General features: G+C 40.2%; 1 protein-coding gene and 1 long non-coding RNA gene across 15 annotated transcripts in view, besides 2 other annotated features; one reads left to right on the top strand and one right to left on the bottom strand.

Moving 5' to 3' along the window:
• The window catches only part of PIP5K1B (phosphatidylinositol-4-phosphate 5-kinase type 1 beta), a 303937-nt gene that overhangs the window by 33296 nt on the left and 246355 nt on the right, over window positions 1–24286 (bottom strand). The window lies entirely within an intron of this gene.
• LOC101927069 (uncharacterized) lies at window positions 40–22793 on the top strand. The gene is made up of 3 exons (NR_110647.1): window positions 40–217; window positions 18670–18855; window positions 20936–22793. It is a non-coding gene; the product is annotated as an uncharacterized LOC101927069 (long non-coding RNA).
• Window positions 5954–6248: an enhancer, noted in NCBI's record as "tiled region #10428; HepG2 Activating DNase matched - State 5:Enh". NCBI's record gives its function as "activates a minimal TATA promoter and a strong SV40 promoter by Sharpr-MPRA in HepG2 cells {active_cell/tissue: HepG2}" and the evidence as "EXISTENCE:reporter gene assay evidence [ECO:0000049][PMID:27701403]".
• Window positions 9291–9380: an enhancer, noted in NCBI's record as "active region_28443". NCBI's record gives its function as "activates an Ori minimal core promoter by ATAC-STARR-seq in GM12878 lymphoblastoid cells {active_cell/tissue: GM12878}" and the evidence as "EXISTENCE:reporter gene assay evidence [ECO:0000049][PMID:35858748]".

Raw genomic sequence — 24286 nt, 5'->3', positions numbered from 1 at the left:
GTGTTCTTATAAAAAGGGGAAGTTTGGACATAGAGACACAAATACACAAGGAAAGCTCCATGGAAGATAAAGGCAGAGATTTACAAGCCAAGGAATGTCAAAGACGGCCAGCACACCACCAGAAGCTAGCAGAGAGGTATGGAACAGATTCTTCTTCACAACCTCAGAGGGAAAACCCTGCTGATACCTGGATTTCAAACTCCTGGCCTCCAGAACGGTGAGACAAATTTCTGTTGTTTAAGCCATCCAGTTCATGGTACTTTGTAAGGGCAGCTTAGCAAACTAATACTGGTGGTATAAATGCCTGAAGGACAAGCTGGCCTCGGCAAATAGGCTGACTCACTGACTTTCCCTCCATAACACCACCTTGGGAAAAAAGAACTTCTCACTGACATGCATTCATAAATAAACACCTTAACTTTTAGGAAGTTTATATTTTAGGCAACTGAAAAAAAGTACAATTCATATTTCTTGCTAAACACTACATTTTCTGTCTTTAAAAAGTAAGACGTGGCTGGGTGCAGTGGCTCATGCCTGTAATCCCAGCACTTTGGGAGGCTAAGGCAGGTAGATTATTTGAGTCCAGGAGTTTGAGACCAGCCTGGGGAAAATGGCGAAACCCTGTCTCTACAAAAAATATAAACATTAGCTGGGCATGCTGGCACACACCTATAGTCCCAGCCACTTGGGAGGCTGGGGTGGGAGGGCTGCTTGAGTTCACAAGGCTGAGGCTGCAGCGAGCTGTGATCGTGCCACTGCACTCCAGCCTGGGTGACACAGCAAAACTGTCTCAAAACCAGCCAACCTAACAAACAAAAACCCAGAACAAAAAGCAAGGCCCTTCTTCAGTAAAATCCAACAAACATTTTTTAAACCTTTATTAGTGACCAGGAATTGCTAGATAGTGTTTGTGCCTTAGCTTTCAGACTCTACTCAGGTTGTCACCATGTCAATGTGCTAAAAACACACAGGGTTGAAATGAGCACCCTCAGCATGTAAGTGGTATCCTTCAGTCAAAACCCAAATTACTATTAGGTCTGCAGAAGCTGCTGAAAAAATAATATGAAAACAGATTAGAAAAGCAGCTTCGCTCTCACAGATGTACACTGTAATTATAACTGTTCAGAGCTATTGGAAAATCATAAGCAGAATTGACTTTCTGTCCTTGCTAGCTTCAAAGAGGTGCAGAATGACAGGAAAGTTCTCTCATTCGTGGCTAGGCTGACACCAAACGAATTACAAGTTCTGATCTGACTAATCAGAAAATGTCACAGAAGCTACTGGTCTCTGCTATACAGGTCGACACCTGTCCTGAGTCACTAGGAACGTAAGCAGTTTAGGGATAGACATACTTGTTCTGGTTTCTAAATCATGGTACAGCTTTAGTAATCTCTGGCAGTGGTTCTTTTATATACCCAAACCCTTCCTATAAGTTAAGGATCAAGGCTAGGCGTGTTAGAATCTGACATTAGTAACACTCCAATTGCTTAAATAGTGGTTCTCAAGCTTTAATGTGCATTAGAATTGACAACAGGAAGCTGCATTTTAAACAACTTGTTTCTGAAGCAGGTGATTCTAGAGCCTATACTTTAAGAAATGCTGGCTTAGAGAAATGGTAAAGCAGTGAGATGTGCAGTCTAGAAATGGCATAGTATGCTTCTAAGAATGACTGAGGACCAGAATGATCCATCTTAGCAAGAATGAAGAGGAAGGCTGGGTGTGGTGACTCACACCTGTAATCCCAGCACTTTGGGAGGCCGAGATGGGAGGATTTCTTGAGTCCAGGAGTTTGAAACCAGCCTGGGCAACAGGGTGGAACCCCATTTCTACAAAAAATTAGCCAGGCATGGTGGCACACGCCTGTAGTTCCAGCTACTTGGGAAGCTGAGGTGGGAGGATCGCTTGAGCCCGGGAGGTGAAGGTTGCAGTGAGCCAAGATCAGGCCACTGTGCTCCAGCTTGGGTGACAGTGTGAGACCCTGTCTCCCCTACCCCGAAAAAAATTGTTGAGTAACATATGGGTCAAAGGGCACTGCTGAAGGCCCTGCCTGTGCCTCCTGGCTTGGTGCTAGTGTTTAGACTGTCTGTAGGGGTTAGCATTCTGGCTTAGGAGGCTGGGGCCTGGCTGGTGTTCAGGAGCTCTGAATTCCACCCTTAGGTCAGATATGTAACCATTTACCACATCACACTGAATAAATCCTACCTTCCAGAAAGCACATATATGTAAACTAATAAATGATTAGGCCCTTGGTTAAGAACCACAAATACGCTCCCCATAATTTTACACTGTTTATAGACCTGACTTCTTGTTATGTATTAATGTGCTTAGCCATTTGTAAATACAAATATTAATGTTTACAAGCTGTCACTGAAACTATATACCCTTTTCCTATGTTTTTGACCTCCTCTTAAAAAGTCTAAATTATCCATTTTCAGAGTCCCATTTAAGCTTTAGTTATTTTGGATAATGTCTATCTTTCATAGGTATATCTAAATCCTATTTACATAAAATTTCTTAATGGCTATTACTAAAAATGCTCTCAAAATATTTATCATTGATGTATCTACATATCTACAGCCTCTCCTTAGATTTTTTTTTCTTGTTAATGTGTTTGTTTTATTTTATTTTATTATTTTGAGATGGAGTCTCGCTCTGTCGCCCAGGCTGGAGTTCACTGCAACAGATGAGGTTGTTGTATTACGTCTGAGCTGTTGCGGGAGCAGGCACTGGAAGGCTTTAGTTCTTGCCTTGTGGTCTCCCCTTCTAACCAGCATTACTTAGCTGGGGCTTGCTTGGGCAGTCACTTTATCTTTCTGAGCTTGTTCTTTATCCCTATCACAGTGATAAAAATCACTCTCGTTATTTACAACAGGGTTGATGTAAATAATAACATGTGCAAGTGTCTACCATCTGCTTGCCTTCGGAAGGCACCTATTAGATGTCCTTGCTCATGCTGGAGGTGCCTGAATTTACCCTCCTCATTGTCTCCTGGTCCCTGGAGCATTTGGGAGAATTCAGTGAGGCTGACTGTTATAAAATCTGTCCCTTGTGTTCAATACATTTTAGTTATTAGTATTATTGTTGAAGATAATTATATAAAGAAACACATGTTATAGACTTGACTGGCTCAGAAGGAGTTGTGTACAAGTAAAGGCTTAACAACCAGCATTTAGGAAAAAAACCCATGTGCACATATGTATGTACATAAAGTTTTTATACTTATATTTTTATTTTTTCAGACAAAGTCTTGCTTGCTCTGTCGCTCAGGATGGAGTGTAGTGGTATGATCTTAGCTCACTACAACCTCTGCCTCCCAGGTTCAAGTGATTCTCCTGCCTTACGCTCCCAAGTAACTGGGACTACAGGCACACACCACCACACCCAGCTAATTTTTGTATTTTTTGTAGAGACGGGGTTTTACCACGTTAGCCGGGCTGGTCTTGAACTCCTGACCTCAGGTGATCCACCCGCCTCGATCGCCCATTATTAACAATCAAATGGCTGTTCTTCATGGTACTGGTACAAAAACAGATATATACACCAATGGAACAGAACAGAGGCCTCAGAAACAACACCACACATCTACAACCATCTGATCTTTGACAAACCTGACAAAAACAAGCAATGAAGAAAGGATTCCCTATTTAATAAATGGTGTTGGGAAAACTGGCTAGCCATATGCAGAAAACTGAAACTGGACCCCTTCCTTACACCTTATACAAAAATTAACTCAAGATGGACTAAAGATTTAAACATAAGACCTAAAACAATAAAAACCCTAGAAGAAAACCTAGGCATTACCATTCAGGACATAGACATGGGCAAAGACTTAATGACTAAAACACCAAAAGCAATGGCAACAAAAGCCAAAACTGACAAATGAGATCTAATTAAACTAAAGAGCTCCTGCATAGCAAAAGAAACTATCATCAGAGTGAACAGGCAACCTACAGAATGGAAGAAAATTTTTGCAATCTATCCATCTAACAAAGGGCTAATATCCAGAATCTACAAGGAACTTAAACAAATTTACAAGAAAAAACAACCCCATCAAAAAGTGGGCAAAGGATATGAACAGACACTTTTCAAAAGAAGACATTTATGCAGCCAACAAACATGAAAAAAAGCTCATCATCACGTCATTAGAGAAATGCAAATCAAAACCACAATGAGATACCATCTCACGCCAGTTAGAATGGCGATCATTAAAATGTCAGGAAACAACAGATGCTGGAGAGGATGTGGAGAAATAGGAATGCTTTTACACTGCTGGTGGGACTGTAAACTAGTTCAACCATTGTGGAAGAGAGTGTGGCAGTTCCTCAAGGATCTAGAACTAGAAATACCATTTGACCCAGAAATCCCATTACTGGGTATATACCATAAGGATTATAAACGATTCTACTATAAAGACACACGCACAAGTATGTTTATTGCAGCACTATTCACAATAGCAAATAATTGGAACCAACCGAAATGCCCATCAATGATAGACTAGATAAAGAAAATGTGGTACATATACACCATGGAATACTATGTAGCCACAAAAAAGAGTGAGTTTATGTCCTTTGCAGGGACATTGATGAAGCTGGAAGCCATCATTCTCAGCAAACTAACACAAGAACAGAAAACCAAACACTGCATGTTCTCACTCGTAAGTGGGAATTGAATAATGAGAACATATGGGCACAGGGAAGGGAACATCATACACTGGGGCCTGTCGGGGAGTGGGGGGCACTCTATCATTAGGAGAATTACCTAATGGAGATGACGGGTTGAGGGGTGCAGCAAACCACCATGGCACATGTATACCTATGTAACAAACCTGCACGTTCTGCATACGTATCCCAGAACTTAAAGTATAATAAAATAAATAAATCAATAAATAAATACATAAATAATAAAAATCGCTGTTCTTAACAACTGGCTTGCAAAATTTGACTCTAGCAAGCAAGAAGATGTGGGCTCTGGCATGCTACTGCATGAAGGCAAGAGGAAAACATTAGGAGCCAATTTTAGCATAATATTTTGAAGTTGCTGCTTCCATTGGAGTCACTGTGGCTGCTGGCAACATGCTGGAGAGGTGGATATCAGTTAGGCAGCCACAGATCCTGGTGGGACCCCAGAAAAATCGCAGGGGGTGCTCAAATCCATATGTTTATATGTGATTTCTTAACAGAGAGTAAAAACACAATTTAAATGAACATGATTTTTGAAAGCAACAGCCCATTTTCTTCAATTCTAAAAATGGAAACCTGAAAAAGGGTACACACCATCGTGTATGGAATACGATATATAGTGAGGGAATAAAGTTCACAGTTGGGTGAACAAAAGTTCCATCCATCTTGGTATTCACAACCTACTCTGCCTTACCAACACTTTTCCACATATTGTGGGAAAGATTATCTCAGATGACTGCATGCATATTGCTTGGGTAGGACAATTTCCTACTAATTGCCAGGAACAACCAAACCCTAGTGGTAATCATCAAAGCTTAGGCCAATCCTGTTACAAGTACACAATGAATACGCATCTAAAAGACTTGGCGTAGTGCCTGGTCTTGACAACATGTAATTAACCCTAGCTATAATTCTGGATGGCACAGAGTTTCAGTGAGAAGCAATTTAAGGAAAAACACATGCTCCTTTAAACAATTTTAGATTTTATCAGTCAATGATTTTAGAAAGTTACCATCATCCTTTATAACATTTAAGAACATGTCAATGGAAAAGTCACTGGATTCAGAGTTGAGGAACTAGATTCTGGTCTTGATTCTGCTACTACCTATCTGTGTGATGTTAAGTAAGTAATGTCACTTCTATGCACCCTGGTTTTCCAATTTCTAAAGTAAGGGTGTTGGGGTAAGTAAGGGCTATTTTTTTAATGAAAAAATCCAACCTCCACAACTAAAAAAATTTCATGTCCTATGAATTAGAAATTCAACAAATATGTCCTCAATGTTACTCACTTGAACAGCCATTAAGACCCTTTTACGGATTTTCTAAAGTCACATTCTCTTTTGTTCTTCTGAACAAACACTGATTCCCCTTGTTTCCAAATGTATATTTGACCTTTCTTCAATGTTTATTATCAGTCTTCCCCACTGAAGTTTGTTTACTTATGAGAACAGGGCTCTCTTTCCGGTAGATCATAAAGCAATTCCCGGAAGGGCCTCGGGTGGGAGGATGTGCTCAGGTACAGAAGATATCTCACAATGTTGACCTATTAAGAAAATGGGTGGTCCTAGACTCTGGGCTGGTGAGCATTTTTCTTCTGCCTTCTAGCAATTTCTTATAAATGGCAAAGTCTTGTTTTAAAAATCTGAGTCTGTGTTTTTTTTTCTTCCCCTAGTACTGTTGAATAAAAAATTCTACATTTCCAAGCATACTGTGCCTGCGATCAAATGATGACACAATCAGCACCCCTAATAATAGTAATAGCTTCCCTTGATTGAGGCTCTGAGCCTGCCACATACATTATCTCATTTACAGTTTTTTTTTTTTTTTTTTTTTTGAGGTGGAGTCTCGCTCTGTTGCCCAGGCTGGAGTGCAGTGGCGTGATCTCGGCTCACTGCAAGCCCCGGCTCCTGGGTTCACGCCATTCTCCTGCCTCAGCCTCCCGAGTAGCCGGGACTACAGGTGCCCGCCACCATGCCCGGCTAATTTTTTGTGTTTTTAGTAGAGACGGGGTTTCACTGTGTTAGCCAGGATGGTCTCGATCTCCTGGCCTCGTGATCTGCCCTCCTCGGCCTCCCAAAGTGCTGGGATTACAGGCATGAGCCACCGCGCCCGGCCTCATTTACAGTTTTAACAACCCATCAGGGTAGGTATTAACATCCCAGTTGCACACATGAAGCACATGAGGCCCTCAGAAGCTACGCACTGTGCCCAAAGACACAGGTTTCCAACCCAGGTTTGTCTGGATAGTAAATATATAACCTCCCTTACAATGCCTCCCTCTACAAATAAAACCCCCAGCATGACACAGGCAAGACAGGCAGAGTGAAATCCAGTAGAGAATCTTGGAGAGGTTCAGTGCTTGGAGATTTCACTCTTAAAGTCTTTCATGAGACATAACTGGGAGCTGAGATAGGATGCCTCTTTTGAAGTGGCTGATGTGACATTTACTAAGCAAAACTTTATAGTCAACACATGCAAAAAAAAAATATATATATATATATATAAACAAGGATCCTAACACACTGTCCACCCTACAAGTATTTTCATGCTAAGATAAAAAAAAGAGCAGAATGTATTGAAATATCATGTGCTAGAAATGCATGGAAAATAATCTGTAGATACTATGTTTCACAACTGTGTGAAAATACAACTAATTTTTATTAAGCAGTTATTAGAACAGGTTTTTTTTTTTTTTTTTGAGACAGAGTCTTGCTCTCTCACTCAGGCTGATTACGGTTCACTGCAACCTCTGCCTCCAGATTGAAACGATTCTCCTGCCTCAGCCTCCCGAGTAGCTGGGATTACAGGCATGCACCACCACACCTGGCTAATTTTTGTATTTTTAGTAGAGACAGGGTTTTGCCATGTTGGCAAGGTTGGTCTCGAACTCCTGACCTCAAGTGATCCACCTGCCTCGGCCTCCCAAAATGCGGGGATTACAGGTGTGAGCCACCATGCCTGGCCCCAGAACAGGTCCTTAAATAGCTAGTTTGATCCTTGATTTAAACATCAAAACGATTCTATGGTATGGGGATTATGATTCCACTTTATATAGATGAGGAAAGGGACTTTTAGAGAAATTGTGGAAGCATGCCCAAGGTTATACTAACATAAATAGCTTTAATCAGAATTCTGAGCCAGATCTGAGTCTTCTCTTTTCTTTCTTCACACTATTAATACAAATTATAGTGAACTTTTTGCCCACTCAGCACTCCTTTCTTCTGTTGGTAAGAGCAGCTCACTGGGTTTTGGGGAGCAATCCTTCTGGTATTCTGTGTAGTCCTGTTGGGAATGCACATCAGAGCACCTCACCCCCATGGGGGTGAGCCTTTGACTCATCAATGTAGGCTCATCATACTCTCAGAGAAATCTGAACCTTGGGCAGTGTGATGAAGAATGTCAAGTGGTAGGAGCTAAGTAATAACACCAGTATGTCCATGAGTCTCAGGCTTCCCAGAGGAAGAGAATGTCTTCTAGAAGATGCTGTCCCTGAGTCTGAGATTGTCTAGAAGCAAGCTTGATGAAAGCATGGCGTGACAGATTCCCTGAACTGCTGGATTCTCACCCTGTAGCAGTGTCTGGGAGAGGGTAGAGGCTCGATAAATATTACTCAATGAATGGTTGAATCCTCTGAGCTGCTGTATTTCATATTCTTCCCTTGGCTTGGTAGTTGAGGTTTTTCTTTAGATTATGTGAACTAATTCTTAGCTTCCTCATGATTTCCTTTGCTACTTCAGTTTCTCTTGCTTGTAAGCAGAGAACTCTATCTGATACCTATTATTTCCACAGAGTTGTTACATATGCCAAAATATTTGAGGACCCAGCCTGATGGAGTTCTGTTTGTCTATAGCAATGACCTTCACCTACTATTCTCACCCAAGGAAGGAAGCTCTAGAAAACTCCTCAGTTGGAGCATCAAGGAACTACAATCTGTTATGAGAGATCATTTATTAGGTTGCATAAAGGTCCCCACAAAAAAGTCCAGCTACAATATGTGGGGAAGTAGTTTATTCCCACAGTGCCCTTGATTCATTCATAGGTTGAAACAACTACCACAGGTATCCAAAAATGGCACATATGCATGAAAAACAACTTTTACCCAACCCCAAATTCTGGAAACTGGGACATTTGAACTATAAAATTCAAAATTGTACATATTCAACCTTATATGGATTGGGATTCTATGGCAGGTGAAAATGTGATCTGCATAATAAATCAATCATAGTTAAACCCAGCTGCAAAAAGACCCATGGTATTAATATTTGACAGATTACTTATTCATCTTCTCTGCATACAGCTGTATACTGAGTTTCCCATCATTTCAAGTAAAGCCTCAAGAGACAGTTTTAGAACACAATCCCCCAACATTTACATTATAACAAAGTGTTACTATAATGCATGATTGTGGTACAGGTTTCTGTAATGTCATTTTGAAAGAGGAAGCACCCATGCCTTTTTGTTTATAACTAACCTCCATACTATATCCAGATTTTGTTCATTTTCCTTAATGCCTTTTTCCGTTCCAGAGTCCCACTCTGGATACCATGTGACATTTAGGTGTCACATCTCCTTAGGCTCTCATAGACTGTGATGGTTTTTTAGACTTCTTGTTTTTGATGACCTTGACAGTTCTGAAGAGTACTCATCAGGTATACTGCAGAATGTCCCACATGATTTGGGTTGCTTGATGTTTTTCTCATGGTTAGACACGGTATTTGTAAGTTTTTGGAAGGAAGATCACAGAGGTCAAGTACCATATTAAGTCAAGGTTATGCACTATTAACATGACTTATCATTGATAATGTTTACCTTGATTACCTGGCTGAGGTAGTGTTTACCAGGCTTCTCTACTGCAAAGGTACCCCCACCTCCCTTTCCATGCTGTACTTTTTGGAAGCAAGCCACTAAGTGTGGCCAACGCTTAAGGGATGGGGTGTTGTGTTCCACTTCCTTCAGGGTGGAGTAGCTACATACAGTATTTGGAATTCTTCTGTATGGGAATTTTGTCTCCTCTCCTCCATTTATTTATTTATTCAATCATATATTAATATTAGTATGGCCTCTTGGATATTTATTCTTTGGGTTATAACTCAAAACTGTGTTATTTTATTGCTCAAATTGTTCCAATTTTAGCTATTGAGAGCTCTTTCAGTCAGCTCCTGTGCCCTCTGACACACCCCCACTGTTTTGTTTTTTGAATACAAATAGCTTTTTTTTTTTTTTTTTTTGAGATGGAGTCTCACTCTGTCACCCAGGTTGGAGTGCAGTGGCACAATCTCAGCTCACTACAACTTCCGCCTCCTGGGTTCAAGCGATTCTCCTGCTTCAGCCTCCTGAATAGCTGGTATTACAGGTATGTGCCAGGTATGCATCATGCCTGGCGAATTTTTGTATTTTTAGTAGACACGGAGTTTCATCATGTTGGCCAGGCTGGTCTCGAACCCCTGACCTCAGGTGATCCACCTGCCTTGGCCTCCCAAAGCGCTGGGATTGCAGGTGTGAACCGCTGCGCCCCGCTGCCTTTTCTTCTTTTCAATAGATAAGGATACATACCTGTATTTTTGGATGGTTTAAGTATGGAACCACTGAAGAACTAGGCTGAACCTTCTCATCCTTAAACACAAAGCTCTTGTATCACTTTACAGTTAATTCAGAAGTTTAAGATTGACTACATTTATATCATTGTTCATTTGTGGGACAAAATCTGTATGACAGCTGTGTGTTAGCGTTTGGAACTGGCTTCGTTTCCTTAAGTCATTCCCAGCCTGTGATTGAGGTACTAGAGTTCAGGCAGAAAGGCTTGGTCTTGCAGAACTAGACTATCCATCAGAAGTGGCAATGGTGAGTTAAACTCTATTAGAACGTTAGCCTTTCCAGGGACACCCTCTGCCCCCATCTTCACCTTAGACTTTCAAATTAAATCACAGAACTAATTGAGTCATAGAATATGTATCTTATATATATTCTATTCATTGTACTAGTCATATATATTTTCTTATCTCATCCTCACAATAATCTTGTGAAGTCGATATTATTTGTAGATGAGGTGATTAAGGTGCAGGGAGGTAAAGTAGTGTAGCTGGTCAACAGCAGAGTGGCATTCTAATTCGAAAGCTTCTATGCTAGGTTACCTGTCCAAGCTGAAAACCATGGCCATATAACCTTACAATTTCCTCAAAGGATGCACATCCTGCCAAATGGTGGCAGCTTAAGGCTCAGGCCTACATAAGGCCACATGCCTGCAGGTCTGGTTTCACTTTGCTCATAAGGAAAGGGAGAGAAGGTTTGTACACATATAACAGGCTTATTTTTCCGTCTATCAGGCTCTGTATTTATTGTGATCAATCAACCTCCTCTTGGGAGCTAAGAGAATTCCAGAATTGCAGCGTTTACAAGGAAACCTACAGGCATTCTAGTTTAAAAAGCTCTGTGCTATTTCTCTCCCCTCTACGGTAGTCTTCCCAGATGGCTGCTCAGCTACAGTGAGAGGCTTAGCATTTTCAGGGTAGCCTATTTCTTCTTTAACCACATTATTAAACTCTTCCTTATATAGAACAATCCTTTCTTTGTAACTTCCATGCATGGGTTTTGATTCTGCTTTCTTGGGGAGAAGAATTCTCAGCCTGAGCTGACATGCCAGGCTCATCAGCTTCCTGGGCTATATGGGGAGTCAGGTCAGCCTGGGTCGGATTCTGCTTATTTTGTGGCAGACCCAGGAGAGTACCCTTCACAGCAAGGCAACCACAGAAGTGAGATGCCAATTTATTCAAAGTTCAATGTATTAATACATGTCCTGTTCTGAGATAGCTAAGATCGGATGTTTACTCATGATGAATAAATATTAGCTCTTTACTTCCCTTAGGGGCCTTTACTTCTCTTAATGGCATCATAATCATCCTTTTATAAACCCTTAAGAAACATTTCAGTCCACTGTGATAGTATAACATGCTCTATGGGTGAGGGTGGAACCACGTGAATTTCTAAGTGTCTATCAGGTTCAAAGTTCAAAACAAATAAGGAAATCTTGGACATGCCTGGATACAACAGCAGTCTTAAAGAAGAATGATGACTTACTGGCAAAAGAGAAGGAAGTTTAAAGACTGCCACTGGGGAAGAAAATGCTATTGATTTCATTTCCTTCTGATATGAATAACAGGTGCTCAGATGGATTGAGCTGAAAAACAAGTGAGATGGGGGAAAATTAAGTAGCTTTACAAAACGTCGGGAGCTTAGAAATAGGAGATATATATTTATTCAAGTTCTTTTTCTCTGTGGATCAGAACTCAAGCTTTCATTTAATTTGGCTTGAAGAATTTGACCCATTGAAAGCTACTGTCAGAGCAGGAAGAAAGCACCTGAAGTCACCACCACCCAATACTGACCACCCACGGTTGAAGGATCTATTGTCTAAAGTGTAATAGCTGTGTGATTTAACTCAGGATATACCTGAAATGTGGAATTTCAGGCAATGACTGTATAATGAATGCCCCCACTACCATTGTAAAGGTCCCTGATCTGGGGAAGTGTTAGTCACCGTAACAGCTGAACCAAAGCAAATTATCATTGGCAGGGACATCAAACGTGTCTTCCTTCTACAGATAATTTCAGGGCTGACTACAGGGTCATGTGACCTATGCAACTGCATGGATTCCTGGGCTTAGAATGGTTCCTTTCTTAGGTTTTGTTTTTTTTTTTTTCTGAGACAGAGTCTTGCTCTGTCACCCAGGATGGAGTGCAATGGCATAATCTCAGCTCACTGCAACCTCCACCTCCTGGGTTCAAGTGATTCTCCTGCCTCAGCCTCTCGAGTAGCTGGGGTTACAGGCATGCACCACCACGCCCAGCTAATGTTTGTATTTTTAGTAGAGATGGGGTTTCACCATATTGCCCAGGCTGGTCTTGAACTTCCGGACTCAAGAGATCAGTCTGCCTCGGCCTCGCAAAGTGCTGGGATTACAGGTGTGAGCCACACACAGGACTGCTTGCTTAGTTTAATGCTCTGATGTTGCCATCTTGAACCTGTTAATAATTTTTGCACATTAGTCCTCACAATTTTATTTGAGATGCTGCAAATGTAGCTTGTTCTGAATGGCTGTGATGCTTTGGAAAGGTCAAGTTATTATGAGTAATAATCTAAATCAAATATAAGTTTCTTTCATCGATGCAATGAGATAAAGGTTCTTTTCAAAAGTAAAAGAAGGGTGGCATTTTAAGTTGAGAAAGAAACAGAATCATAAGGTTTTAGAGACTGGAGATCTTAGAAATCATGGTAATTAACAAGCAGAATTTGGATCAAGGTTTTTGTCATATTGAAATGTTTTCATTAGAGAAGGAGACAATTTAGAATTGCCTTGAAGTTGTCAATATATATGACAATTGTGCTGTTAACTATGAATGGTTCTCTCTCTTATTTACCTGATAAACCTTTAAGAAATATGAAATGAATATCGGTGCAGCTCTAGGGACCAGAAATGAAAACAGGAATTAAGTCAGCTGCAAGATCAAGTATCATAAAGAATAGTAAGCTTGGCCACTGTCCCCCTGCCCATAATTTTAATTCTCTGAGTTCCAAATTCAGTCTAGATGGACTGAATGACTCCCTTAAAATCAAAGAACCATGTGAGAAGAGTAGGTAAAGCAATTAGTAAACCTCTAATTTTTCTACAGCAAGTAACAACAATAAAATCTATCTGTTCTTTATGAGGCAGTCAGAATTTGAGGACTTTAAATCATTTGCAAAGGGAAAGAAATGCTTCATGACTTGGCCAGAAGCTTACTTTACCTATTCATCTTAAAACAGCTAATCATAAGTCTTATGATTTTGAATGCATTTAACCAGTTCTCTGAATTCAGAGAGGATTGATTTTTCTACTTGCATATGAAAAATAACATTTCTGCCTTTAGTTAGGGGATAAATGTGCTCAAATCTTTTGATTTTACACAAAACAGGAGTATTCTGTGTACAAGGAAATGTTTATTTAATGTCTTTTTTTTCCCAAATCAGTATTTTAAATTAAAAAAATGATCTTGATAGTTCATACTGTAATGACCTTGAATAATTGGAGAGAGCAAAATATGTATTTCTGTTCAGGTAAAAATGGTGTGAACACATGCTTCCCACTTTGCTTCTTTTCTAAAAACTCATAAAAATGAGGGAAAAGCCTAGAACACACTTGATTCACAAAACTCTCAAAAGGCTGAAGAATTAGAAGCATTGGGAATCCATGAAATAGCATGTGTCGGGGTAAGAGGAGGCAGCTAAGTTAAGTATCTGTGGTTGAAAGTCTGGTTAAGCAGCAGGTAAATCATCTCCCAAAACTTCTACCAACATGCAACTGCCTTTTCTCAACCCTATTTTAAGAATGGAGGTTTATTCTCCGGAGTGGGTGGAACAGAAGGTCTCTAGATTGGGGATCATTAGTCACAGCACAAGGATAAGGGACCAACTGAAAATAAGGAGATAAGGAGGGTACTAGCCTGCCAGATTCAGAGACGGTCTCTTCCCCAACTCGGCTTCCATCAAGCTGACAGCCAGCCTTTATCATCCAGGCTGGAAAGATTGGTAGAGCCTTTTCTGGGGATCTAATCAACCCAAGAAGAAAGACAAATACCAGGTTTCCCCAACTACACAGCCCAGCCAAATCGCCCTACAGTGAAACCCACAGATGACAAGCCCCAGCCACGCACTTTGAACTTTTAATCATTTTGTTAGTGCCCCACTTCTTGTTTGAAATAGTTTTATTGATATATCATATGTATACCATATAATTAGTTGCTTTAAAGTATATTATTCAATGGCTTTTGGTATATTCAGAGTTGTGCAACTATCACCATAACCAATTTTAGAATATTTTCATCACCTCGAGAAGAAAATTGTGCTCATTAATAGTTACTCCATTTCCCCAAAATCCCCAGCACTAGGTAACTGCTAACTTACTTTCTGTCTTGATAGATTTGTGGTGACACGCTTTTTTTTTTTTTTTTTGAGACGGAGTCTCGCTCTGTCGCCCAGGCCGGACTGCGGACTGCAGTGGCGCAATCTCGGCTCACTGCAAGCTCCGCTTCCCGGGTTCACGCCATTCTCCTGCCTCAGCCTCCCGAGTAGCTGGGACTACAGGCGCCCGCCACCGCGCCCGGCTAATATTTTGTATTTTTAGTAGAGACGGGGTTTCACCTTGTTAGCCAGGATGGTCTCGATCTCCTGACCTCATGATCCACCCGCCTCGGCCTCCCAAAGTGCTGGGATTACAGGCGTGAGCCACCGCGCCCGGCCGGTGACACGCTTTTAAGTACGAACAGACAACCAACGATTATGAGAAATCTGAGAGAAGCTACTATTGTAAAAGAGATCGAAAATATCGAAAAAAGCTAACTAGAATAACCTAAGATTATGCAGGGATTAGAAAATGCCAAAAAACCCTTAGACCCCAACTATTATTTACTTCCTCAGATAAGTTACAGCAACTATGAAATAAAAGAACGGGATACTAAAGGAAGAAATTATCAGGACAAGAAGAGGTCCTGGAAAGTAAAAACGTAACAGTAGAATTGATTGAATTAGAGGGCTGTATGAAAATTTGAGGAAATCCCACAAAAAATAGAGTAAAAAGACAAACAGATGGGAGACAGAGAAAAAACAACAGAAACGTAGAAGACTAGTCTAGCGGCTTCAATTTTCAAATGAGGAGATACACAGAGAAAAGAAAAAACAGAGGCAATGAAATCATCAAGAAAATTTCCTAGACCTAAGAAAAAAAGACCAAAAAGGAAAAAAGAAAATTTTCTAGACCTGAAAGACTTGAGTATGCAGATTGAAAAGGTCCACTGAATACAATGCTTTACTACAGATGAAAATAAGACCAACTCCAAGACAATTAAGAAAAAGACATCTTTAAACTTTCAGAGATGGGGAGAAAATAGATAACATGCAGATGATCAGGAAACGGATAAATCTGAACTTCTGAACAGCAACTTAGGGAGCCTGAAGACAATGGAATAATGCCTTTGAAAACCACTTCTGAAATAAAATTCTATACTTTGCTAAACTATTTCTTATGAGTGACGTTAGCATAAAGACATTTTCAGACTTGCAAGATCTCAAAAAATTAACTTCCCATGAGTCCTTTTCTCAAAAAGATACTGGGGGATGTGCTCTGCAGAAACAAAGGACTAAACCAAGAAGAGGGAAATATAAACACTATGAAGCAGTGGAGCCAACTTTAGAGACAAAGTGAATTCCCAGAACAAAGGTGAAAGAAGTTCCCAGGATAACATCTGTGCACCAAACTTAGCAGACTAGACAAGGTCAGAAGACTCTGGGGAGAGATTATTCAGTTGAGTAACTCTGCTGAAATATCCGACGCGTCTGAACCAATTAGACATTTTAAAGAGTTTGAGATTCAATTATTAATAAATATGTAGACAACTAAAGAAAACAGAATGGAACATCATTTTGGGGAAAAGTATAAGGAAATATAATGAAACTTTACAACAGGGCACAGTTGCGAATATGTTTATGACATAAGGTAAATTACAATCTAATAGGAATTATGATGCAACTCTACTTGGAGAATAGAGAGGATGAGAAGGGTTACTGTGAAGGTGGGGTGATAAAAGGGAGCTATATCATCCTCTTCCAAAGTGAGAACAAAAAAACTGGAAATAGCAACTCAAGTATTTTGTTGAGAGAAATAACTAAAAAAATCAGATGAAAAAGGTGGTTGCCTTTGGTGAGGAGGAAATAGGGGTGGGGAATGGAATGGGGTTGGTGGTTTTAATAATAGTCCTGGAAGAACTATTTGACTTTCATAAAAATAAAACCTAGAAAAATATGAAAAGAAATATGAAGAGAATATAGTATTTTGTTCCATAGAAATATGTATAATGTAAAATGGCAATCACACTGTGATTACAATCATATAATGAATGACACACATCTGAAAATGTCTGATGGGGTTTACAGAGGCATTAATGATTGTATTAAGGTAGTGGAATTAAGAATAACCATTGTCTTTTCCAAATTTCCTCTATCATAAAGTTCCTGTATAATTTTCATAATCAGAAAATGAATTCACAAAGCAGAAAAAGTTTATTCCTCATTATAGACTGGAACTTGGTTCACAATTATTTCTGTCATTCAAATCTATGATTTTTCAAGTTATCAAGGAAATGGTGGTTTCTTTCTTTCTTATTCTTTCTTTCCTACACGTCAATATTGGGAGTACTATGAACCAACTTTCTAAAAATTATAAATTGATCAAAGGTGACGATTATACTTAGTTTCTCCTCTCAGTGCCATACATTTCTGATATAATATTTGCAATACCATAAAATACTTTTCTCTGTCACCAATTCTGAGGAAATGTGAAAAAAATCCTTCTAAATATCCAAAGTTAATACTGCTTGAACCAAAAAAAATTAACCTTTTAAAATTTGTGGTGTGAGACGTTTGCATTATGATAACTTTCCAACACTGTGGCCTGATTCTTGAGGCATCTCATGCAACATTCCACAGAGCCCATCTAATTTAAAAAATAATTAAAAATATTAATGTCTAAGTATGCGATTGAATAGGAGAAAAAAAGCAAAGAATTATATCTAGTTTATAACTCAAGAGCTACAAAATCATGAATGCTGCTTGGATGTCTCAATAAAAATGAATACTGAGAAAAATTTCTCTAAGATTTGCACAAACCGCTCTCTTGTCCGTAGGATGCTCTGTTTCAAATCCATTTCCAGAACAGGCTTTTAGTTTGAGGGGTAAATGATCTGGTGGGTGGTATTTTAAAGAGTCTAAACAATTACTTAAGAAGCAGAAAATATGTTTCATTAAAAAAAATCATTCTGGCTTTTCCCTTACAGTCTGTGTTTGGCACAATCACTGGTGCCTGTACAAAAGCCATAGTGTCCTGTCTTTGCTAACAGAACCCTAGGTTTTGATTTTAGGTAGTAGGTGGAGATCTGTAGTGATGGGATTCAGGATATTCTACCCATTATATGGCAACTTAGCATTTGAGAAAACAGCTCCTTGGCCAGTTGTGATGGCTCGTGCCTGTAATCCCAGCACTTTGGGAGGCCAAGGCGGGTGGATCGCTTGAACTCATGAGTTCAAGACCAGCCTGGGCAACATGGTGAGATCCAGTCTCTACAAAAAACACAAAAATTAGCCGGGCATGGTGGTGCATGCCTGTAGTCCCAGCTACTCAGGAGGCTGAGGTGGGAGAATCGCTTGAGCCAGGAGGCAGAGGATGCAGTGAGCTGAGATTGCACCACTGCACTCCAGCCTGGGCAACAGAGCCAGACCTTGTCTAAAGAGAAAAAAAAAAAAGAAAAGAAAACAGGTAATAAACCTAGGAAGGTCACTCTCTGACCTTCTCTCACCCTTCTTCCCTGAAGCAGGCAATAAAAGAATCCTCTGGCCTGCCTCTGTAGTAGGCTGTAAGACCCCACTTAAGAGGTGCCCTCCCTATAACTGGAGGAAGGAAATATACTTATCTCTGAAGACACAGGGACATGGTGACCAATCTAAACAAAGAAGCCTTGCTAAGTTTCACCAGTCTTTTACCATTAGATCATACCCCCTTCAGCCAATCTTACTTTCCACTTCTTCATCAACTCTAGCATAAAACTACACAGGTTTGCCTGTTTTTTTGGGTCTTCATTTCTGAAAGCTCCTCTGTCGTATAAAACATTAAATGCATTTGTATGCCTTTCTCTTGTTAATATGTCTTCTTTTATAAGGGTTATAGGCATGAACCTAGTGATGGGTGAAAAAAAGATATCTTTCTCTCCTCTGAAGTAGTCTCAGGGGAGGTAGGCCTCTTCCCAGCCTCCTTTGCAGCTAGAGTCATGCGATCCACTTCTGGCCATGAGCTGCTGAGAGGATGCTGCTGGGGGCACAACTGGGCAACCTCCCCCATAAAAAGCCTTGCAATGAGGAATTTCTCCCTCCCCACCTTTTTTTTTTTCTTTTTCTATTTCCTTCCTGCAGAAGTCCCTGGAGAGAGGACGTGATGTCTGAAGCTATGGCAGCCATCTTGTAACTATGAGGCCACAAACAAGAAAAGCAAAAACCAGAGTGAAGCATGGCAGAGCAGAAAGATGGAAAGAACCTGGATACATAAGAGTGTCACTGTGCAGCTGTACCCACCCTAGACTGCATATACCTGGACTTTAAGTAAATGACAAATATCCTTTATTCTATCTCAAGCCATTGCTTCTTCATCTTTTTTGTGTCATGACAATCACAGTGGGCGGTAATATTTGTACTGCCCTCTGGGGAACACAGAGGAGACTGCTGGCACCTGAGGTGAACTATGCTGGGGGCTTCAGCTGCCCCAGGACTCCTCCCTACCTTGAAGCCTGAGGGGATACATATCTCTCTGCACATCTCTTTGTGGCTCATCAATGGGCCTCACCATACACGTTGAAAAGTTCTAGTTTAAGCCATACTTACCTGTTACTTGGCTGAATGCACTTCTAAGTAAAACTTGGACTCAATGCTGCTTGTCAATGGAAAGTGATGAGATTTATAAGATATCATACATTCTCTAGCAACATATGAATATGCAAAAAATACTGATCTTAGCCCAAATCACATCATATGATTCTACTGACAGAACTATTTGCTATTTAACTCGTGTTCTTTCTTGTCAGTAATGGGGCCACTTCCTGATTAACTACAGGCACATTTCATGAGATCCAAACATAGAAATTTTTCTTTCTTTTTTTTTCTGAGACAGAGTCTCCTCAGTCGCCCAGGCTGGAGTGCAGTGGCACGATTTTGGCTGATGCAACCTCTGCCTCCGGGGTTCAAGTGATTCTCCTGCCTCAGCTTCCTGAGTAGCTGGGAATACAGGCACTTGCCATCATGCCCAGCCAATTTTTGTATTTTTCTAGAGATGGGGTTTTCCCATGTTGACTAGACTGGTCTTGAACTCCTGGGCTCAAGTGATCCTCCTGCCTCAGCCTTCCAAAATGCTGGGATTACAGGCATGAGCCACCTTGCCCGGCCTATAGGAATGTTTCAAACGATGCATTTGAGAGTACATTCATAATGGTTGAAGAATTATAGATTTTAGGGAAAAAAGTTTCATTTTATCTAGAAGTTCATCTTATGGGTCAAGTTATTATGTTTTTTATATGGTCTTAGGTTTGGGTACACAATGACCTTGGCAATAATTGATTTTTCTATGAGCCTGACATTAATGTTTCTAAGCAAGTCCCTTTTGTCAGCTCCACTGGTGCTTACCGTAGAGGGTTGATGGGTGCATTAAATAAAATAATATCTGTAAAGCTCTTGGCTGACTACATTGCATACAGTACACATCAAAGACATAGTTCTTAGGATTATTATAAACAAAAATGTAAAAAGAATGTGCATGAATTAATGGTAGTCATAACTCATTGGATACAAAATATCTTCCATATGGATACAGTAAAATACTACATAAATATTACTATAAAAGTGCTATAAAAATATGAAGCTCTCACCACTCCCCAGAACTCATGTAATTATTTTAACCCGAGGCCAGCTCTCAGGTGACCCACCTTCCTGTTTTGGCAAAGAAGTGCCATGCTCTGGTTACATCTGAGAGCTGTGTATTCTTAAACAAAAATATCCAGTTCCCCACTTTTCCAGAGATCGCACTGAGAGGGCTTTATGTGGGAGTCCCTTGTTTATTAAGAACTGTTTCTATGTCACGGGAGGCCAGGAAATGAATTTTAAATCTGTCTTAACCACAGAATGACACACGGGACAAATGACAAGAGCAAACTGGGGAGCTCTGCTCTCTCTCACAGTGCCTGGGCTGATGAGTTCAACACATCTGTTTGCACTTGAAAAGTCAGATGTACTAATTATTGTTACAAACACAAATAAAAGTGATCAATGTACATCTTCCTGAAATTAAACCCTTTATGAAGCAACATTGTCACTTTTGGAATGCCTTCTTGGTTCAGTCAAGCATGGGCATCTCAAATGTTGCATGTGGATAATTATGAAACATTTTCTGAGCACTTATGCCAAGGACAATGAGCAATATGATCAGGGATGTGCAGTTTTCACCCTGTAGCACTCTTCCTTTACTGCAGGCATCATACACAGCTCCAGGCAAGTCATTTTTCCTAACTCTGTCTGCCTAACTCACTTTGTGTAGATTTTTCATTGAATACCATTTGCTTTCTATTGTGACTATTTATACAAATATTATAGTCTCTCAAGGGCAATGATTTTCCATCTTTTCCATCCTTTCTAGCATCTTGTTTGGACTTGTTTGTGAGCACCAAGGAGACACCTCTGGGGACTTACAGATCTACTTGGACAGCACTTGACCATGGACCTGCCCCCCAGCAGATGGGGCAAGAGCCAGTGAAATTTGGGTATTTGACTGCAACCCTGTTTGTTCCCACATGTAGAGGAGATCTGGTGCAACTCCAGTTACTTGGAGCAGTATAACAGCACAGCCACTGCTGTCGTATCAACATTTTTCGCTAGTCCTCTCTCATGTGGGGCTTGTCTATGGGGCATGTTGGCATTGGGAAGTCCTCATTTCCTGATTTACTGTCTCATGATGAGATACCAATCAAAGCTAAGATACAAAGAACTCTTTGAAAAATAGCCTTTTCAACTTGTCCACACACAATCAGAAACATACTGATTTTGGATTAACTCATTATTAATGATTTTGTCTATTTTGAAAGAGGCTGCCCTGAACAAGGAGTCAGGAATTGTAGGTCTTAGCTCCACTTTTGCTATTAAGTTATGCTGCAAACCTTAGAATCTTCGCTGAGCAGTTCTCTGGGCCTCTCTTAATCTGTAGACGAAGAAACAGAGGCAGATGAAACACATCTCATCTAATTTTGCAGACACGCTCAACCCTCTACACTACAATAAAGGGTTAAAAAAGGACATAAACCTATAAAGAGGGGAGAAGATTGGAAGAAGCTAAGAGAGACAAAATTTAGGAGTCTGAAAGGCATATGAACAGGTAGTAATCAATTTAGCAAACTTGAGAGGAAAATCCTGAGCTACCACTGGGAAAAGCAAAGAAATATATAGCCAGGCAAAAACCTCTCCCCATTCCAACAGAAGACTGGAGGATTTTATTTTTTTTCTCCCTGCGGAAAACACAGAACAGGATGTGTGGACCCAGGGACACCAGAAGCAATTGAGGTAAAAGAAAGAGAGGAAGTAAATATGTATATACTAGATGCTAAGACACCTGTTCCTGCCAGATGTCCCAGAAGGCTGACAGCCAGGCCTTTCTCCTCCAAGCAAGAAACTGGAAGCATCTCCTATAGGGAGTCTGACCAGCTCAATAGCTTGCTGGTCAACAAGCTCTGCTCAAGTGCTTAAGTTTCCAGTCAGGGATTTTTTTTTTTTTTTTTTTTTTTTTAAGACAGAGTCTTGCTCTGTTGCCCAGGCTGGAGTACAATGGTGCAATAACAGCTCACTGCAGCCTCAACCACCCAGGCTCAAGCCATCTGAGCCTCTGAGTAGCTGGGACTACAGGTGTGTCACTGCACTTGGCTAATTTTAATTTTTTTTGTAGGGATGGGGTCTCACTAGTATTGCCCAGGCTGGTCTCGAACTCCTGGGCTCCAACAGTCCTCCTACCTCGGCCTCCAAATATGCTGGGATTATAGGTGTGAACCACCACACCTGGCCTCTAATCAGTTTTCTAGTCTCCCACTCAAGCCTTAGTTGAGCAGACAAATGAAGATTTCCAAAAATCTGAGGAAAACCTCCAGTATAGAACATGTAGACTACAAAGAGAAAAAGGCAGCCTGGATGAAAACCGAGACTAAAAAGGGAGAAGAAACAAAATTCAGGGCAAAACAAAAAACATAATCCTAATATCTTCAGGAAAAAAGAGAAATTACAATCATGAAAAAAGGAAAGATTGCTAAAAAATAAAATCTCAGCGAACAAAAAAAGAATTCTTATAAAACATGGTAATGGAAATTAAAAACTCAGTGGAAGGATTAGGAGATGAAGTTGAGGAAATCTCTCAGAAACTAGGACAGAAACATAAATAGATGGGACTGAAGACAGAAAAGTAGAGAAAATTGGAAGACAAATCCAGGATATTCTGTATGCATAAAAGGAATTACAAAAAGGAAAAAGAAAATAGAGAGGAGGAAATAAGAAAATAGTTTAGAAAATTTCCCCAAACTCAAAACATGAGTTTGCAGGTTGAAAAGGTCCCCTGAGTGCTTAGCATGCTGGCTGAAAATAGACCTGCACCAAGGCCTAGCATCATGAAATACTGAGACTCTGAGAGAAAATCAAAGAGTTTACAGGTTTCTGCAATAATAATAATAATAATAGGAAGAAAGAAAGAAAGGAAGGAAGAAAGGAAGGAAGGAAGGAAGGCAGGCAGGCAGGCAGGCAGACAGGCAGACAGGCAGGCAAAGAAAGCAAGCCATTTACAGAAGATCAGAAATCAGAACAGCACTGGATTTCTCAATGGTAATTGGAAACTAGAAGACAATGGAGCCAAGCCTTCACCATGTTGAAAAAAAAAATCCAAAATATTTGCAATCTAGAATTCTATACTAGTTAATCTATCAATCAAGTGTTAGGGTTAGAATAAAGACTTAAGACATGCAAGATCTCAAATATTTTGCCTGCAATGAATATTTTTCATACTGGAGGATTTTCTTCTGGAAAATGTGTTCCACCAAAATGAGGGAGTAAACCAAGAAAGAGGAAGAAGCAAAGAGGAAGATGTAGGAGATGACAAACAACGGAACTGATACAGACAAGAGGTTACTAGAATCCCCAGAATGATGGAGCAGAGAGGCCCCAAAGTAACATTTGTACATCAGGTCCTAGAGGGCAACCAGTTCAGTCCAGGCTGGTCAGAAGTGTCTGGCGGAAACTTCTGCAAGACAATAAAAGGAACAGAACCTCATGCACTTAAATGGTTTGAGAAGAAATGAAGACACTGGTGGAAAGCTTAGGGTTCTATTAAGGAAAAATACACAGAAAACTAAGCAAACCGAAGAACAAGGCAGTCATTTATTACAATAAAAACAAAAAGTCACACAGGAAAGGAAACTGAAACATAGTATATGACACTATTCACAAAGCCATAATAAAACACTCAATATCGATCGGACTACAGTCAAGATGTAACTATACAGGGAAACTGGAAGGGTGTAGGAGGAGGGGGTGGGAACAGTACACATACGTGGTATGTGTCGGGTGGAGAAAAGACAGCTAAATCTTCGTCTTCTATAGTGGGCAGTTATTAGCTAATGCCTACACCCAATAGATCAAGCAATAACAATATAAGCATGTTATTTAGAAAAACCAAAGTAATTGCCAAAGGAATCAGCTCAAAGAGTTGAAGGTGATTGCACATGAAGACGTAGGGGGAGGTGGACTACGGCTTGCTCTTTTTCTTAACACATGTTACACGACTATTTGTTAAACTCTGGGCATAGAGTTTTGTTACAAAAATAATTTATAAATTTTAAAATCAATCAATACCTTTTTTAATAAATAAAAGGGCTGGATGACATGATGGCCAAAGTTCCCTCTCATCTCCAAAGCTCCGTGATTCTTTCAGGATGAGTTTTACCACTTAGGTTGGAAAGGC

This window comes from Homo sapiens, chromosome 9, assembly GCF_000001405.40.
Source record: "Homo sapiens chromosome 9, GRCh38.p14 Primary Assembly".
Classification (NCBI taxonomy): Eukaryota; Metazoa; Chordata; class Mammalia; order Primates; family Hominidae; genus Homo; species Homo sapiens.
Note: the sequence above shows the minus strand (reverse complement) of the source record. Positions and strands in the feature narration are given on the sequence as shown.